This window comes from Homo sapiens, chromosome 15 (assembly GCF_000001405.40).
Source record: "Homo sapiens chromosome 15, GRCh38.p14 Primary Assembly".
Lineage (NCBI taxonomy): Eukaryota > Metazoa > Chordata > Mammalia > Primates > Hominidae > Homo > Homo sapiens.
Genome location: NC_000015.10, coordinates 81,363,887 through 81,382,623, shown reverse-complemented (window position 1 = coordinate 81,382,623; position 18,737 = coordinate 81,363,887). Strand labels below are relative to the sequence as shown.

The following is an 18,737-nucleotide window of genomic DNA, read 5'->3' as shown; positions in this document are numbered from 1 at the left end:
TGAAGGATCAAAACAAGAGTGGCCGTTCTAAACAAGAAGTCTCCAGGCATGGGTGTTTTTCACTGATTCTGATTCTCTCTGCTGTGGTGAGATCCTGTCCCTGTTGTGGAAAAGTTCTTGAGAGGGACACTAAGCCACATCGAAGACCTGAGGAAGAGGCCATGCTGAACAAAGGAATACAAGAAGTGGCCGGGCACGGTCGCTCACGCCTGTAATCCCAGCACTTTGGGAGGCCGAGATGGGCAGATCACTTAAGGCCAGGAGTTTGAGACCAGTCTGGCCAACATGGTGAAAATCCGGCTCTACTAAAAATACAAAATTAGCCGGGTGTTATGGTGCACACCTGTAATCCCAGCTACTCTGGAGGCTGAGGTGGGAGAATCGCTTCAACCCGGGAGGAGGCGGTTGCAGTGAGCCAAGATCGCACCACTGCACTCCAGCCTGGGCGACAGAGCAAGACTTTGTGTCAAAATAAACAAAAAACAAACACACAAACAACACACCAAAAACAAAGGAATACAAGAAGAGAACTGCCCTCCTGTATAAGAAAGAAGGAGTCAACAGAACAAACACCAAATTCTTCTTTTTAGAGTGCTCCCAGCCTCACCTTTTTCTCCACTCCCTCAGCCTACAAAGTCATCATGCAGCAGCCTTCACCAGTAAGCATATGAAAGATGAAGTCCCATAGCATTCCTGGGAACAGGGAGGGAAGCCAGAGAACACTCACTCACAGGATGGGGGCGCAAACACAGAAATTCTGCAGCATAAAAAAGGAAATGAATGCAGCATGCCAGAGGTAAAGAAAAACGCAGATTTTAGAAAGGAGCTTTCTACAGAAAGCAAAATGTAAATTTTAGACATTTGCTTCTCTCACTCAGTGAAATAAAATGAAATCATTGTCTCTGAAATAAGGGACGCAAATTAAGAGAAGAAGAAGAGATAGTGACTTTATAAAGGAAACCAGCAGAGTTAAAAAAAATGTAAGTGGAGATTGACATAGTAAAATGAAAACCTGGATTAGCATAATCCCAAGAAAAATGGCAACAGTAATCTAAGCCCCTCAGTAGCTTTAAATAAAAGGCTAAGGTCAAGGGCTATAAAAATAAGAGAACATTAAATAACACTGGAGAAAAGGAAGTATGTCACCATATAAGACATTTCAATGAGCTTCTTTAAGATGCAATTCAGACAGAACAAACTACCAACCTGTAGTAGGTCATCAATGATTTAATCACAATCCACACTTTACCATTTACGCTTTCTGTTCAGGAAGTCAAACAGTCCTGGCAGAGCAGTATAACCATCTACTAATTCAAGAGATAAAATTCGCAGGCAACAGTAGCCATGAAGAGCTTTTTCAGTCAGGGTTCAATTGGAGAAACAGAACCAATATATAGAATTTATAACAGGGATTAGGATCTGCACAATGGTGAGACTGGTTGTGAAATCTCTGTAAAGGTAGTATCTGATACTGGGCTGAATTTGTTCTATATCGCCTGGACTGGGAGTTAGGAAGGAGAGTTGGGTGTGAAATTGAGGAAGTAGAGGACAAGAGGTATTTTCCCATTTCCCCTCAAAAGGATGAAATAGAGCCCACCTCTCTTTCTCACCACCTCCCACCCAAAAGATGCAGAAGACCTACTGGAAAAGTTGGTGGCTTTCACCATGGAGCTGTACACACATCTGGCCCAGGGCTCAGAGGAGCTGAAGGAAGAGATCCAGTGGGAGCTGAGGTTGTGCGAGGCTCAGGATATGGCCCCACCCGCAAGGCAAGGCTAGCAGATGACAGACCTGTGTGAGCTGCCACAGCATCTGGTGCCCTTTACCCACCTCAGAGCACACAAAATGGCAGCTCCTTCTCTTACATCTTCCAAGACTTAGACACACAAGTCTCTTTGTGGCCAGCAACACACAGAGAATGGAATACTAGAAAACACATTTCCAGCTTAGCTATGTTAGCTCAGTAAAAAGCACCCCCAGGAGATATGAAGACTGTTTGTTTGCAATCTCTTTTACCACTCCAGAGCCACAACATTCATTTATGTCTGCTCCAGGAGATTCAATGCAATGCTTCACTATGAAATAGCAAAAGGGTGGTTGGGCTTCTTTCTGATATACAGGGTTCAACCCCATCAGGGAAGCTCACCTCAACAACGAAGCACTCAACCTACTCCCTCATGTTTGCAGTGGAAACCCCCACGCCCTCTCATCCCTCAAAGGCTGCCAGAGGTATCAATAGAAGGGAAGCCAGACAGCCACAGCCACAGCCACACCCGAGAAGCTGCTGGAATGAAAGTGAGGCTAGAAACAAGAGGTGATGCAGAATGTTGGCAAAAGGAAGAAAAAATAAATAAAAAATTTACTTTCACCTGCTGTTTCTCTGAGTTCAGCTGTTCCTTCATCAGGCTTTTAAATCTGTAAACAAGCAATATAAAATTATGAGTAATATAAAATTACGAGTAATATAAAATCCCACATGATTTGTAAAGATCATCATGGCATTTATATATACGATGAGATTTAAGGTGGGAATATAATTTATACATGAAGACTATTTGTGGGTATACACATGCCAAGACAGAACTCTCCTTCTTCAAAAATCAAAAAAATGTAGAGGCAGAAATGCGGTGTTAATTAGACCTATGAAAATATTATTTAAAAAGAAGGTAAAGTACTAAAAGTGAAAAAAGAGGGCAGGAGTAGTTTAATTTTTAAAAGGCCTTGCTTTGGGGAATTAAATTGGTTTGCACGTTAAGGAAAAGGATTTTGAAAGATCTTTATAAAACAAGAAATGAAAAGATATGTCAAAAATACATGTTAATTAATTTGATTGTGGTAATCATTACAAAACATATACATATATCAAATCATCACATTGTATACCTCAATCCCTATTTGACCATTAATTATTTTAAAATGAAAATATAAGATGAAAAGAGATGTGAGGAAAAGATGAAGATAATTTTCTAAAAGAAGGGGTTTTAAAATATCACATCGAGACCAAAGCAAAACACGATAAACTTCGTATTTTGGCGGTAGATCAACATATCGTAAATACTGTTTTGTCTGGAATCTGCTCTGTTCTGTTGTCTCAGCTGATCCCAGATGCTATTTGGCTTCCATCTGCTGATGGAGACATAGCATTTCTGTAAGGACGTGAAGAAATGCTGAGAGCTCATCCCTCCTGAGACGTTGGCTGTGCTTTCTAATATTCCCCAAATACTTGGGAAAATACAGACAGTCTAAAAATCATTCAGGAAAACTCTCAGCCAATTACTAAATAGTCGTTTGACAAGGAATTCAGCTGCTGTCTTTTACCCCCGTTTTTTAGAAACTTCAATTTTTTTCTTTCTCCTAGGACAGATTATGTGTTTAGATACACTCATATATGAAAAGGAATCTCATTCCTTGAGGAAGCTTAACAGCTGATGGGACAGGGCAGCGTTACAATTGTATCCCAACAGCAACCTATCTGATGATTTGTTCTTCTTCTTAAAGGATTCTATTATGGTGATAAGAATCTATCTTCACTTAATGCAAGGGGCAATATAGCAAAGGACACCACCCCCCACCCCCACCAACCCATCTATGAATCTCAGACTACTTTCTAAAGGTGTAACATAGTTACAGAGTATCACAGGACCCCAAGGGAAATCTCAGAGGGTCTGCACAGTTTCAAATTTATTTGCCACCAATGATTTCATGTGGAATCCAAAAATAAAAATAAGTTCTCATGCCTCAACAAATTCAGCTGTTACTCAGATAATTGAAAACAATCTCTTCTTGAGAATCTTCCCTGAAAAATATTCTCCAAACCCAAAACATATTTCTAAACTTCAAGCAAAAGCTTTTGGGGTTGCTAAAACAATATAACAGAGGTGTAAATATGTCCCAGGAATGGGAAAGTTTGTCTTGTAAAATCCAGAGCTGAAAATCTGATAGCTAAGAAAAGAGACTTTGGCTTTGCTGATGGAACACACTGGACTCACACATAAATTTTAGGATGTGCCCAGGGATATTAATTTCTCAGAATAGAATTCACTTAGCAGGAAAACAACTCTTTAATTGATGACGTAGGAAATAAATGTTTTTGTCCCTGTAAGCTAAGCCTTCGGATCATTTCTGATGAAACCTTCTGGGATTTATAACTAAATTTTATTGTTGTTTTGTTTTGTTTTTAGAACTGAACAAGATTCATATGTTATACAATTAGGCCTTCACTTGCTATCTCTATCTGCCTTACTACCTTCTTTCTCTCACCCCATAGATCCTGTAAGCAGTGGGTCTAGGAAATAATAATTTTAGCCTATTTTGACACTATTTGGAACCTTTTTGATTTTTGGATTTTTAGTCATTTTATCTACATACAAATTCTGGCTTAACTTAAAGGTATCCAGCGCATCTAAAACCTTTAATCAAATTGTCAGAGGAAGTCAATGCATGTGGAGTAATTAATCTCCCTGCATTCAGAAAGCAACATCCTCTCTATGTTCTCCTTCTGCCTGGCCCTTCAGCACCCAGAGGAGCAGCAGTCTAGAGAGGAAATGGGGAAGGGCATCCAAGTCCATCCGGCTGGAGAATGAGAGGCTGCAATCACAGCCTCGCCTTGAACACACTGCCCACATGAATGCCGGGGGGTACTTAGAGGGAGTTTGTAAAAATCAGACCAAGGAAACCATAAACAGACCATAGACAAATGTGAATTTTTGATTAAAAACTCATTTTACCAATAATAATAAAAGCACATTAAATCAATATAAAGGGAGCAATATTCATTTGACAACATTGAATTTTCTTAAATAATATTCTTTTTGATCTAGTAATTTCACTTCTGAAAAACTAATTCTATAGAAATTATGTGAAAAGCAGAAAATATCGATGGCCAAAAAAAAGGTCGGTGGGGGCTGGGCTCACGCCTGTAATCTCAGCACTTTGGGAGGCTGAAGTGGGTGGATCACCTGAGGTCAGGAGTTTGAGACCAGCCTGGCCAACATGGTGAAAACCCATCTGTACTAAAAAAATTAGCTGAGTGTGGTGGCACACACCTGTAATCCAGCTACTCGGGAGGCTGAGGCAGGAGAATCGCCTGAACCTGGGAACCAGAGTTTGCAGTGAGCCAAAAATGGTGCCACTGCACTCCAGCCTGGGTGACAGAGTGAGACTCTGTCTCAAAACAACAACAACAAACAAACAAACAAACAAACAAAAGGTACTAGGGAGAACAAAATGGATGTTTGAGAAATGGGGCACAGTTAAATGCTTCACATCCTAGACAGAATATACCACTCAATAGCCTATTGGTAAAATATGCCCACAGAAAATTTTTTTAAAACATGGAAATTGCTTTAAATATAAAATCAATGGAAAAGGTAAGAGAAATACACATATACAGTACAGCCACAAAATATATAAAGGAAAATATGCACTTTTAAAAAGCTGAAAAGATTAATAGTTAATATCATTGAGCAATATTGTTCTAGGTGGTTTTTGCTATTTCTAATTTTCCTATTGTTTCCATTTTGTTTGATGATTATACATTAACTTCATAATAAAAATGTTTAGAAATCAACATTTCCTTAAAATTAGGCAAAAAACAAGGACAACTGATTAATATCAAAAGTTGCAATTCCTATGTAATTATCTCAGTTAATTTATGATTTGGGTACTAAAAATAGAGTTAAATATCTTTTATTCAACCTATCTTCATTTAGGTTCAATAAATTACTTAATTTTATTTATTTTTATTTATTTATCTTTTTGAGACGGAGTCTCGCTCTGTTGCCAGGCTGGAGTGCTGTGGCACAATCTCAGTTCACTGTAACCTCTGACTCCCTGGTTCAAGCAATTCTCCTGCCTCAGCCTCCTGAGTAGCTGGGATTACAGGCACGCATCACCATGACCGGCTAATTTTTGTATTTTTAGTAGAGACGGAGTTTCACCATGTTGGCCAGGATGGTCTCAATCTCCTGACCTTGTGAGGCCCGCCTCAGCCTCCCAAAGTGCTGGGATTACAGGTGTGAGCTACCGCGCCCGGCCAATAAATTACTTAATTATTAAAATTAACTTAAACTTAATGCTGTTGTAACTTGAAATTATTCTAAGCCTTGAGAAGAATGTGGCTTTGCAGCCTGAGTCATGTGGCACACAGCTGTAACTTCTGCCTTTTCTTCCCTGTAAATAATTAGAAAGGCCAAAGGGCATCAGAGATAACACCCCCCTACCAGGATCACTACCCCTTCTCACAGAGTAATAAAGTCATCTTCCTTAGAATGCAGCAATCTATAACCACAGGCACTGGTCTCATATAGAAAATGTAATCCGGCTAACATTTCTGTCTCTGCCTATACAAGTAAAACCTTAACTTCTCCACTTTGGAATGCTGATCCCATTTATTTGGACTTGATGGTTCCTGGGTGGCTACCCTCAAGTTCTGTGTTCAAATAAACTCTATTCTTAATCTCTGAATTAATTTTCTGAATCTCATTATTTAAGGTTGACACTTATCTCACCTATAGTGCCAGAGAGAATTACCTGAATGAATATGAAATTTTAAAAAGATTGATTTTGCTCTAATTTGTTTTTAATAAATCCCTGTGTACTGCAAAATTTGCTACCTTTCCTTACCTCCCCTTACAATATACATGTATATGTAACATCAAAAGGAAACAAAAACACTCAAAATACTTGAGTGAGATTAATATAAAATATTTTAAATTTTTGAGTAAATATTTCAAAATAAGGCAGGGGGGCTTTAGAAAAAGTAGGACGAAAAAAATCTTTGAAATGTTCAGGAATGATTGAGATAAGTAAAGATCTCTGAAAGAATGCAAAAAATCCCAGTGGGGCTAGCAGTAATTCTATTGTATAAGCCATTTGTCCATTTGATAAGCACACATTTTATCTAATGTTACCAGATAGAGCATCAGGCCAAATGGCCTCAAGCAAATTGGCAGACAGATGACCTGGTCCCAGAGGCTCCGGATCCATCTCTGACCCAAGGCCAGCTCTGGCACTCAGCCTTCCACTTCGTTCCCATGCTTTCAGCGCTAGGTCTGAACACTTGCCTGATGGTCCTGAACCCCTGGGCTAGGGCTCTTGCTTACATTTGCCAGTTCAGTGTGTGGTAAGATCTTTCCAATTATTTGCTAATGAATTAGTGGAGGATTGAATGGACAAATGAATGAAGTTTCTCTCCGAAGCCCCACATCTGAACTTGCTGATGGATTTTCTTTCTGCTCCGTTGTCTGGTGTCCACTTCAGTTATTTATTCACCCATTTATTGAGTCTTTAGTGTGCAGTGGGTAATGTTCAATAGAAAGAGTCATGTCTACTCCAGTCCTGCACCTTCCCATTCTGTTACTACAAAGGTGCAATTTACCTCACTGCAGTCAAACCATTTCTTGTGTTAAGTAGCAAATAGAGGTTTACACTGTGAAACCAGGCAAGTCTTGGACTTGGGAATGAGGTTCTTGGAACAGAATCCCAATGCATGGCTAACAGTGAGAGTCTGCAGGTGACAAAGGAACCGGGCTCCATTCTGCTGATGGCTGGGGAAGGGGAGGAGAAGCTGCTGACCTTTGCTGAAGGACTAGGATGAACTACTCATCCCATTTTACAGCAGGCAACCTATTTTCAGAACATTGAGGTGAGAGTCTAATCTCTATCAAAGTCTTCCTTTCTTACCAAATGCTATAGGAAGTCTCTTTATTTCTTTTAGCCTCAGTCTCAGAGTCATAGTGCTCATTAATGTGACCATGTATGGTAAAGGTAAAATGTAATAAGATGTTAATTTGATTATTATTAATATCATGCTGAAGTACTTGGGGTTGATGTATCATTATTTCTGCAATCTACTTTCAAATGGTGTGTGGTGGGGGAAGGATACAGACAGAAATAAAGCAATTGTGGCAAAATGTGGCAATTGGTAAATCTAGGTTAAGAGTGTACAGATATTCCTGGTACTGTTCCATCAGCATTTCTAAGGATTTGACTTTTTTCAAAATAGAAACTAAGTTGAGAAAAAACTAAATAAGAAAAAATAAAATGTGATGGCTGTGCCTCTCCTCAACTCCACTGTATGAACACAAGCAAGGTCCTTACTGTCTCTAAGCCTCTTCGTTGAGAGTAAAAAACTGGGGAAATTAAGCCTTGCCTTTTATACTCCCTCAGTGTTTTGTGAACACCAGTCATGGTCACAGATGTAAAGTGTTTTGCAAACCATCCAGGACTGTCAGGGCATAAGGGGTTAACGGATGTGATCATTTGTACAGCACCAAGCGATGTGTAGATCACCGGGCCAAACCCTTGGCTGTCTAGACTCCAGCCAATCTGTGTGCCTCAGCCACCTTAACATTACATATGCATGACTGGCCTCCTGGATTCTTCCCTGCTCAGAGCACCAGCTGCAAGCACACAGTCTTCTTCCTGAGAACTAGCGGGCAGAGCAAACTCCGCTGCTTCCATTCAGAAACCTCGGAACAGACCTTTGCCTGCCAACTTCCTAGCTCTCTGGCCAGCTTCTGATTGTTAGCAGTGGGTTAGCTCCCATGAAAACCTCGAAGGCATCCCAGCGCTATAGAGGCATCCGGAGAAATGCCAGCCAGTGCTACCTCTACCAGGAATCTCTGCTGCTCAGGTGAGCTGGCCCCATTCATCAGCTGGGCAGAGGAGTCAGGTGTGTGAGGAAGGAATGCATGGGTCACCAGAGCGAGGGACAAAGTCCCTGTCCTGCTCAGTTGTCCTTCAGAATGAACTCAGAAACTCACTTCTCCAGGTTGTGGTACAACTAGGATGGCAACCTCAGCAACGGGCATGGGGGGAAATGGTTCTTCTGGCTGCTTCTTGACCAGGAGGTCAGAATCCAAAAGCTTGCATCCCAACCTGGCTTTATGGCTGGCCAAACCCACAGATATGTTTCCCTGTTTTCTCTATGTTCACTCAATCAGCAATGTCAAGAGAGAGCAGATAATATGTCTATCATGATAAATAAAGTGTTTATTGGAAAAGCCTTCAGGCTAGTTAGAAGTGGATGAGAGTGCTATTCGAATTTGTTAAATATTTATAAAGGTCTAGTACAGCTGCCATTTAATTTGGTGAAATTGAAAAAAATTCTCCTCTAAATGAGTAAAAACAACATGAATTAGAGAATAACAAACGAAATCTTTTATTTCTAATAGTCATAGATGAATACTCTTAACTCCTCTCAAAATGTTGCATTAGGATAAGCATATTAAGTGTAACTGGGAGTAAATGTTGCTACATGTTGGAAAATTGTTCCTCTTGAGAGTATCTATTTCCTGAAATATCTCACCCATGTAAATTTGCTTAGCTAATCTTTCGCTCGTAGAAATTGCTTTGCCTGGCTCTGCCTCGGTTATCTCAGGCTTAAAATGAATTGACGTGAAAGGGTGAAGAGGGGTTTCTGAGTGGCAGAAGTTTTGATTTATGTTACCTTCAAGTAACATAAGGAGTCCTGCCTCTAAAATTAGCTGATTATTTCAATGAGCCTGAAAAAGAAATTATTTTGCCTACCCAAATTGCTGCTACTCAGGAATCCAAGAGTACGTAAATACCCTCTTGTCTCATCTTGTGTTTTCTGATAATATCATGCACCCTGAGAAATCATTATCTTCTAATGACCCAGTGGAAGTAATTGAATCCAATAAATGTGTTTCAACAGGCTACTGACACTGGCAAATTATCTGTTTCTGTGGGTCCCTCACTTTACACACACACACACACACACACACACACGCACAAACACATACACATTTCATACAGATGACCCTAGGGCAGTGAGATGCTGAACTTGTGCCCAGGGCAAGATGATCTTTGCTGGAAGCAATTCTTCTAATCAGATTTCCTCCTTAATGCCCTGATCATTCAGCAACTTGGATGACAGCTTTAGTGCTGATGAAACAGGGGACAGCAATGATCCGGAACAAATCTTCCAGAATATACAGTTCCAGAAAGATCTCATGGCAAACATTCGCTGCAGACCCTGGACTATGGGACAGAAGCTGAGGGCATTGAGGTAAGGGCCTCAATGGCCATTATTGATCATTACAAGCATGCTTTCCGATAAACCACCTTGCCTTGCCCATGGGAACGAGGATAAAGACTCATGTGAGAGAGATGGCTCAGTCACTCTTGACCTGAATTAGCAAAGTCACAAAGATATCTGAGAGGTCTAGCTGGTCCAGAAGCCAGTTCCTCTGTGTGTGTGTGTGTGTGTGTGTGTGTGTGTGTGTGTGTGTGTGTGTGTGTGTGTGTGTCAGAGAGACAGATACAGAGAAAGAGAGAGTATAAAGAGTTGTGTGTCTGTGTTGGGGGTGTGTGTGTTGGTGGAGAGTCTTTTATCTTCTACCTCCTTTCTAAACACTAGATTTTAATATTCTCTCCAAGCTCGTCTCGCTCACTAGAAACAGAGCAGTAAGCCAATATGAAAAGAGATACTCATTTTAGCTGCTTGGATATTACCACCCTCTGGGTAAAAAAATAATTAAAAAAAAAAAGACTTTATAGGAAGCCAGATTATTATGATACTTAGAGTCATATTAAATAGTCTGTCTATATAATAAAGTGCTAAAGATTTAAAAATAGATTCCCTGATTCAAATACTGCCTTTACCAATTTCTATCTATGTGATATTAATTTTCTTAATTTCTCTGAATACCAGTTCTTTTCTTTTTTAAAGTTGAAGCGATGGTGAGGAATAGCCCTTAACTTCCTGCAGCACGTTTCCAAAAATGTCAACCACTAAGCTCTCTGGATATTGTTAAAAATTCAAAATCCCTGATTGCTCTCAGACCTACTGAATCAAACCAAGGGAGAGGGTCCTTGTATTTTTAACATGCATTCAGGTTGATACTTTTGCACATTCAAGTTTGAGATCCACTGATAGCAGTTTGTTGAAGGATCAAATGGGATGAACCCTGTGAGTGCTTAGCATTGTATCTGGTATTTAACAGTCACTCACTAAGAGTGAGTAAGGAATAGTGATTCTGATGCCTGGGGTCACAGCAAAGGGAGTTAGCAGAGTTGCCTTCATGGCCTGTACCATTGAGCTACTGTGACCTGTGCTGTGGAGCTTCCTGGCAAAGCAGACACTATGCCTGATCATCAGGCACCTGCAGTGTGGACAGAACCACTGTCCGATCTTGATCTTCACTGCCCTTTTCTAGATGCCAAGCAGACATCTCTTTACCTCCACATCAACCATGTATTAGGCTTGCATTTCTTTCCCATCAAATCATTTCTTCCTTAGATTTGCATTCCAGGTAATGTTCTTCCAGTCTGACCAGCCTCTTCTGCAGGTGACTGTGAAAGATAGCTGAAGTCATCCATAGTTTTGATCCTCAAAATGTTCCAAGTAATTCTCCTTCATGGGCCTTTCATGTCCGTTATCAGCTGCTATTGTTTCCATTTATTTGAGTAAGGATGGCATTATGTCCATTTTTCAGACAAGAAGGTTGATACTCAGAGAGGTTAAGAGACTAACCCAAGCTACACAGTTTCTGAGTGCTAGAATTAAGCTTTAAATCTAGGATTTCTGATTCCAAGTACAGTTTTCTCTTGTATTGAAACACAGGAATTTAACCAAAGTAATCATTGGAGCAATTACTCTTTAAAAAAAAAAGACATAGGTTCTTGGCTGGGTGCGGTGGCTCATGCCTATAATCCCAGAACTTTGGGAGGCCAAGGCAGGTGGATCACAAGGTCAGGAGATCGAGACCCACCTGGTCAATATGGTGAAACCCTGTCTCTATTAAAAATACAAAAATTAGTTGGGCATGGTGGCAGGCACCTGTAGTCCCAGCTATTCGGGAGGCTGAGGCAGGAGAATTGCTTGAACCCGGGAGGAAGAGGTTGCAGTGAGCCAAGATTGTGCCACTGCCCTCCAGCCTGGGTGACAGAGACTCTGTCTCAAAAAAAAAAAAAAAAGAAATAGTTTCTATTAGAATTTTGCTAAATCATCCCGAAATGATGATGATCAATTGTTATCTGAATAACAGTTGGTTAAGTGTCTTTAACTTTGAGGGGACAGCAGAGCAAATGGTAACTTTTCTGTCAAGGCACTTCAGAAACCAAAGAATAAGCCAGGCCTTCTGCCATGTTGCTTGGCCCATGTAACACATCCAGAGCCCCAAGATGGCTGACACCGGCCATGTGTTCAGCCAGCGGCCAGGGTCTCAGAGTGCAGCTGGCCCTCTGAGCACCTTCGTCCGTCATCCTCTTGCCACGCATATCTCCTCTCCATCACCTTGAGAAACTACTGGAGCAACACTTCCCTCATTGGACTTGCTGAAGTTCATCACAGTGCTTCTGTGGAAGGTGCAAAAAGCACGGAACCCTGACTGCTTGAGAATCAAGGGAGCATAGCAGGATGCAGATAAAAGCAGAGTGAGCTAACCCTGAGTCTGGAGCAAGAGCCACCTGTCTAAGAGGATATAGGACATGCTTGTTTCCCCTGTAGGAAGCAAGTGGTCAGTTCCTATGAAATCAGCATAGGTCTATGACTGGGCCTTGGTTTGGGCCGCCCCTCCCTGCTACCTCCACACCCAATCACCCCTCTGTCATAGCTCTTGTCACACCCACTGTCTCTCAGTCATTGTCTTTAAAGGTCTCTGTCATCCCTATTAGGTAGTGAACTCTTCCAGGGCAGAGACTCTGGTTTTTTGTTGTTGTTGTTGTTTGTTATGAAACAGGGTGTCACTCTCACCCAGGCTGGAGTGCAGTGGCTGGATCACAGCTCACCACAGCCTCAAACTCCTGGGCTCAAGTGATCTTCCCACCATGGCCTTCCAAGTAGCTGGGACTGCAGTCATGTGCCACCACATCCAGCTAATTTTTTTAATATTTTTGTAGAGATGGGATCTCACTGTATTGCCCAGGATGGTCTTGAACTCCTGGGCTCAAGTAATCCTCCCACCTCAGCCTCCCAAAGTGCTGAGATTACAGGTGTGAGCCACCCCACCTGGCAGAAACTCTGTTTTAGGCAACTCTGTATTCCACTATGCTTGACCCAAAATAGGTGTGCATAAAATGTTTAAATATTTTCAGAAAAAAATAAAAAATAAATAAGGATATAAAATGAATTGTTATTTGACTTCAATAGGCTTTTACTTTTTAAAAACTTGCAGCAGACAGCTCTATTAAGATGGTCCCAACATGGTAGTCATGGTATGGGGTAGAACATCAACCTTGCTCCTAACCTACATTTTGGTTCTGGCCAGAATGAAGTCAATGCATTGGCTGGGCTATTAAGATGGAGACGTTGCAATGGTAGGAAGAGAGATCCAAAACCAAGAACTCTGGTTAGGTAACGTTTTGGAGAGATCATCCTGTCTGTGGATAAAGGAGTTGGCTTGTACCTTGTGTTTTCCAAGGAAGGACTCAGACCAGTGGGTGTTATTGGGGGTTGCTGTGATGCGCAGACCAGAGCACCCTCCCAATCAAACCTGTCAAACTAGCAAAATGGCTAATTCAGAAGAACTAAGTTTTTCAACACTGAACATAATCAAGCAGAGGGCATCCGACCATCAGATAATGAGCATCTCTGCATGGGGTGGTATATGATTAGGTTACCTTGAAGGTGACATTCTTCTCTCTAAGAGCCCTTGACTTCAGTCTGTCCATGGCACTAACATTTATTTTCTAATCCTGTTGTTCATTTAAGGTATGAATTTAACTGTCTATCCCAATTATATTTAGTCCATTTTCAGGACTGAACATTTAGGCAGAGATATCAGGTTAATTCAAGAGTGATCAATCAGTGTGTTAGAAGTTTGTTTGGGGTGAATCAGATTGTTCATGTCTATGTAGACATGACTTTTTTGCTGCCATTAATCAGACACCAACCTTTACTTGAGGCAGATTCTCTGAAGCCAGGTCTGATTTGCACTTTTAAACAATTGACTGCAAGAGGAAAATTGCTAAGTGAAGAGGCCGAGATGCACGTGTCTGCCACCAGGATTTCCAAAGCTCAGAATTCCCAGCCAAGCACCAGAATCAGGGAAGGCCTTTAAGAAATTCAGTTGTAGCTAATTTTGGTATAAATTCATCATTTTGAATTATGTATCCATTTAAATATTAAAGAAAAAAATTTTAAGGTGTTTTCTGATTACCAAAAATTAGACCATGAAGTATTTGTGTAACTCCATTCTCTCATGGCATCTTTTGCTGTATCATTTTTCAGGACAAGATGGCAACCTATTCCTGTTGCATTTTTACACATTTTGCAGAAATTGTAAGTGTGATACAATTGTGTTCACCATCATGTTTTTCTTCTCTTAGACAAGCGAAGAACATTGTGCTGAAGTTTGAAGGGAGGCTGACCAGGACCCGAGGCTACCAAGCAGCAGGTGCAGAGGTAATACAGAACACACATGTGGCTGGGCGCGGTGGCTCACACCTGTAATCCCAGTGCTTTGGGAGGCCAAGGGAGGTGGATCACGAGGTCAGAAGATCAAGACCATCCTGGCTAACACGGTGAAACCCCATCTCTACTAAAAATACAAAAATTAGCCGGGCGTGGTGGCAGGCGCCTGTAGTCCCAGCTACTTGGGAGGCTGAGGCAGGAGAATCGCTTGAGCCTGGGAGGCAGAGGTTGCAGTGAGCCGAGATCACGCCACTGCACTCCAGTCTGGGTGACAGAGTGAGACTCCCTCTCAAAAAACAAACAAACAAAACAACAACAACAAAAAACACACACACATGTGAGCACTGTGGTCTCCAGAGCCAGGAGGTTGTGTTTGCCATCACACTTGCCATCATACACAGGTTGCGAGTGCCAGTCTATAATACAGCTGTAGATCAGGATGATAGAGTTGAAAAGTATGAATTTCCTGACTTGAATTTTAGTCCTAGACGCCTTCCCTTCCCAATTGTGTGAAACTGGGTAAGCCTAATTCATCAGGAGAAAGGATGGCAAAAGTGATCTAGCACCTTTCCTGAGTTAATCCCACCCATATTCGTAGGTTTGATTCACCGTGTCCCTGTATACAGCTGTATTTCTTACAATGAGAAAGCTGCAGGTATATGCCAATGCTCATTTTATAATACAATGTTAAGGTTTTTGTTTGTTATTTTTCCCATTCAGTTACTTAAATGAAAAGTATACATTAAAATTATCTGCTTATAAAGTCATTTCATAAATGTGTAGAAACAAAGAAAAATAACTTCTCCTTCTATACCCCCTACTTCCCAATATAATGTCATTTTAGAAATTTCACATCAGTCATTGCATAATTATTTTCATACCATAACTGTAGTGTATATACATTTTTGTCTTGCCTCTTTTTTCACATAACACCATTATATTATTTTTTCCATGTTGCTATATAGTTTTTATATTTAATGGTTTTCAATGACTGTGTGGTATTCCATCAGATAAATGTATATTAATTTAATTAGTCATTTGGCCGCTGGTGGATATTTAAATTGCTTCCAATTTTTCATTATTATTAATAGCCCTACGAAGAACATCTTTGCACATATAGATTTTTCTATGTTTTTGAATTTTTTTCTTAGGGTGAATGCCAGAATTGCAATCCCTATAGAAAAGACTGTGGTCCATTGTTTGGCTTTTGATAAATATTTAAAGATTATTTTCTAAAAGCCTTGATGATTTATATCGCCATTATTAGTCTCATAATACCTGCACCAATGTTGATTATTACATTTTTTGTTTGTTATCTTAAGAGACAATAACTGACAGATACACTCTTTTTAGATTCTCTGAAACAAAAATATTCTTAATATAGCTTAAATTAAAGCTGGTCATAAATTTTACATGTCTGAAAAATTATAAACTATCAAAGAATCCCTAAGGACACATCTTGGCATTCTTTCTTCTTACTCTTCACAAAAATCTTCTTTACAATTCTAATCTGTTTTTATGACCAAATCATCCATGACTCCTTATTCCTGCCACACTATGATGGAGTTTATGAAATAAATTATCTTTTTGTAGACATATGAACTACCAAGCTCTTTTGTTTTCTCTAAATAAGCTGAAGTGCTACAGGAAGTAAAGTATTTCACCTGAATTCAAATGACCTATAATATATATATAACAATGAAAAGCTATTGAGACTTTTAGCAATAGTAAACTCAGTATTATTAAAGGTATAACTTGATAATGGGCTGAATTATTAGAAGCAGAGTTTTTACACTCAGTAAGGTAATCCAAATTTTTATCTCGCTCCTCTCTCCTCCATCCTCTTCTGTAAAACGCTCAGCTCGTGCTAACCCACAACTTGTACTGGCTGTTCTCCCCTTTTAGAAAGCCACTCTTCCCATTTACTTTTCATTTTCCTTTTCATTCAAGTCTCAGCTCAAGTATGACCTCCTCAGCTAGACCTTCCCTGACCTTGTTTAAAGGGCCTTTTCCTCCAGTCCTAATAGACTGTGTCCCATTGTGGCATGGACTTGCTTGTGACTGCCTTGTTGCTACCTGAATGCAAACTCCACACCAGCTGACATCTTGCATGTCGTGTTCACTATCTGCATTCACAGGAAAACACAACCTAGGTGCTTAATACATACTATGAATAAATATGCTTTTCATGAACTGTCATACATATTGTTAGATCTGTATGATACATACATGTATAATGATAAATGTATACATACATATGTATGTATAATGATATGTGCATGTATCACATATCTAACAACATGTATGATAGTTCATGTTGACATGTTGATAGGTCAACACAATCTAGGTGCTTAACACATACTATGAATAAATATACTTTTCATGAACTATCATATATGTTGTTAAATATCTTCTGCGTGGACATGTAAGTCTTTCCAAAGAAAGAACTTATTCTTAGTTACCAAAGCTCAATAACCCAAACCCACAATTAGGATCTATTTCTTCCAAGTTTAGTTTTTCTTTGTTTTGATTTTGCTTTTTTCTTTTTTTTCTTTTTCTTTTTTTTTTTTTTTGAGACAGAGTCTTGCTCTGTGGCCCACGCTGGAGTGCAATGGCACAATCTCGGCTCACTGCAACCTCTGCCTCCTGGGTTCAAGGGATTCTCCTGTCTCAGCCTCCTGAGTAGCTGGGATTACAGGCGCCTGCCACCACGCCTGGCTAATTTTTGTATTTTTAGTAGAGATGGGGTTTCACCATGTTGGTCAGTCTGGTCTCGAACTCCTGACCTTGTGATCTGCCCGCTTCAGCCTCCCAAAATGCTGGGATTACAGGCATAAGCCATCGCGCCCGGCCCTTTTTTCTGTTTCTTAAGAGCATACTTTATTCATCTTTGTACCATCTGTGGCTAGCCCTGTGCTTAGCATACAGTGAGCAGACAAGAGATGCTGGTCAAATGAAGAGTCAACTGCATTTAATTAAACTGTCTCATTTTCCCCTCCTCTCCCACCCCTTTTACTTTAGAATGCAAGGGATGGAAAAACTCTCTAAACTTTTTCAGAGGAGAAGAATATAGGAGGTCTTACATTTCACTTTCAGTATAAGTACAGCACTGGTCTTAGAGTTAAAGTATTATGGAAACGTTTGTTTTTATAAATATATCACAGGTTGGAGATACTGACATATAATAAGATAAAGTTATTAGCCCAAGGTTTAGTTGGCAACACCTTGACTGTATTTACTTTTATAATCATGAGAAACATTGCTTCAAACCATGTTTGTTATACATAATAAGCATATATAGGCCCCTGGTTTATGGCAGAAAACCTTTTTCAAAAAATTCGTGACATTAAGAAAACATTACAAGCATCAGCATATTCCTATATATGTGTGCTCAATTTCAAAATTTATTTGAGGATTTGTAGAAAATATCACTCTGAAGTGACTGTGAACTTCATTTTTGCAACACTACCAGGGTACAGAATTTTTATATTGATTTTTAAATTTTTTTTTTATTACAGTTTTATTTTTTATTTTTTTTTTTTTGGAATAATGTTTTTTTTTATTATACTTTAAGTTTTAGGGTACATGTGCACATTGTGCAGGTTAGTTACATATGTATACATGTGCCATGCTGGTGCGCTGCACCCACTAACGTGTCATCTAGCATTAGGTATATCTCCCAATGCTATCCCTCCCCCCTCCCCCGACCCCACCACAGTCCCCAGAGTGTGATATTCCCCTTCCTGTGTCCATGTGATCTCATTGTTCAATTCCCACCTATGAGTGAGAATATTGCTTTTTTCTTAAATTTTGAATTATTCCTGTTTCAAGGCTTTTGCTGTGGAGATTTGGTATAAATCATCAGAGAAGCATGAAACTTTTTCCCCCATGCCTTACTGAACACGTCATCAACAAATCACCTTTTTCAATCACATTTTCCTTTAAGAAGTTCCTTTAGGCCAACTTGCATAGACTCTTATTCCCAGAATGAGCATCTTGGGCCATTCAGTCCAGTGCTCTCTAACCTGAGTTCAAGGGCCCTGGCTCCTCAAGCACTACTGATGGGGTGGTGGGGGAGATTTTTTTACCCCCACCTACAAAAGTTGCCCTGCCTTAGCCCATTGCATGTATGAAAATTCTCATACAACTTTAAATTTAAAGAGAACTCTGAATGCCACTAATCAAATCTTACTTCTTATACAGATGGAGAAATGGAATCCAAGGAAATAAAATAACTTCCCCAGGGACACATAGTGAGATAGATGTGAAATTAGAGCTAGAACTCAGGTCTCTGGCTTTCCGCCCTGTGCTTCTTAGACTTCAGGGCTTTAAAACGGGCCAGAGACTCAATGCTTTC

General features: G+C 40.1%; 1 protein-coding gene and 1 long non-coding RNA gene across 2 annotated transcripts in view; one reads left to right on the top strand and one right to left on the bottom strand.

The window, feature by feature from the left end:
* TMC3-AS1 (TMC3 antisense RNA 1) overlaps positions 1–18,737 on the bottom strand; it is a 118,744-nt gene that overhangs the window by 60,453 nt on the left and 39,554 nt on the right. The window contains exon 6 of the long non-coding RNA NR_120365.1: positions 2,370–2,415. This is a non-coding gene — a long non-coding RNA (TMC3 antisense RNA 1). The remainder of the gene's footprint in view (positions 1–2,369; positions 2,416–18,737) is intronic.
* The window catches only part of TMC3 (transmembrane channel like 3), a 43,126-nt gene continuing 32,799 nt past the window's right edge, over positions 8,411–18,737 (top strand). Inside the window, exons 1-3 of the mRNA NM_001080532.3 lie at positions 8,411–8,635; positions 9,887–10,033; positions 14,296–14,371. Of these exons, the coding sequence (NP_001074001.1) occupies positions 8,547–8,635; positions 9,887–10,033; positions 14,296–14,371 (312 nt within the window). The 5' untranslated portion in view covers positions 8,411–8,546. The remainder of the gene's footprint in view (positions 8,636–9,886; positions 10,034–14,295; positions 14,372–18,737) is intronic.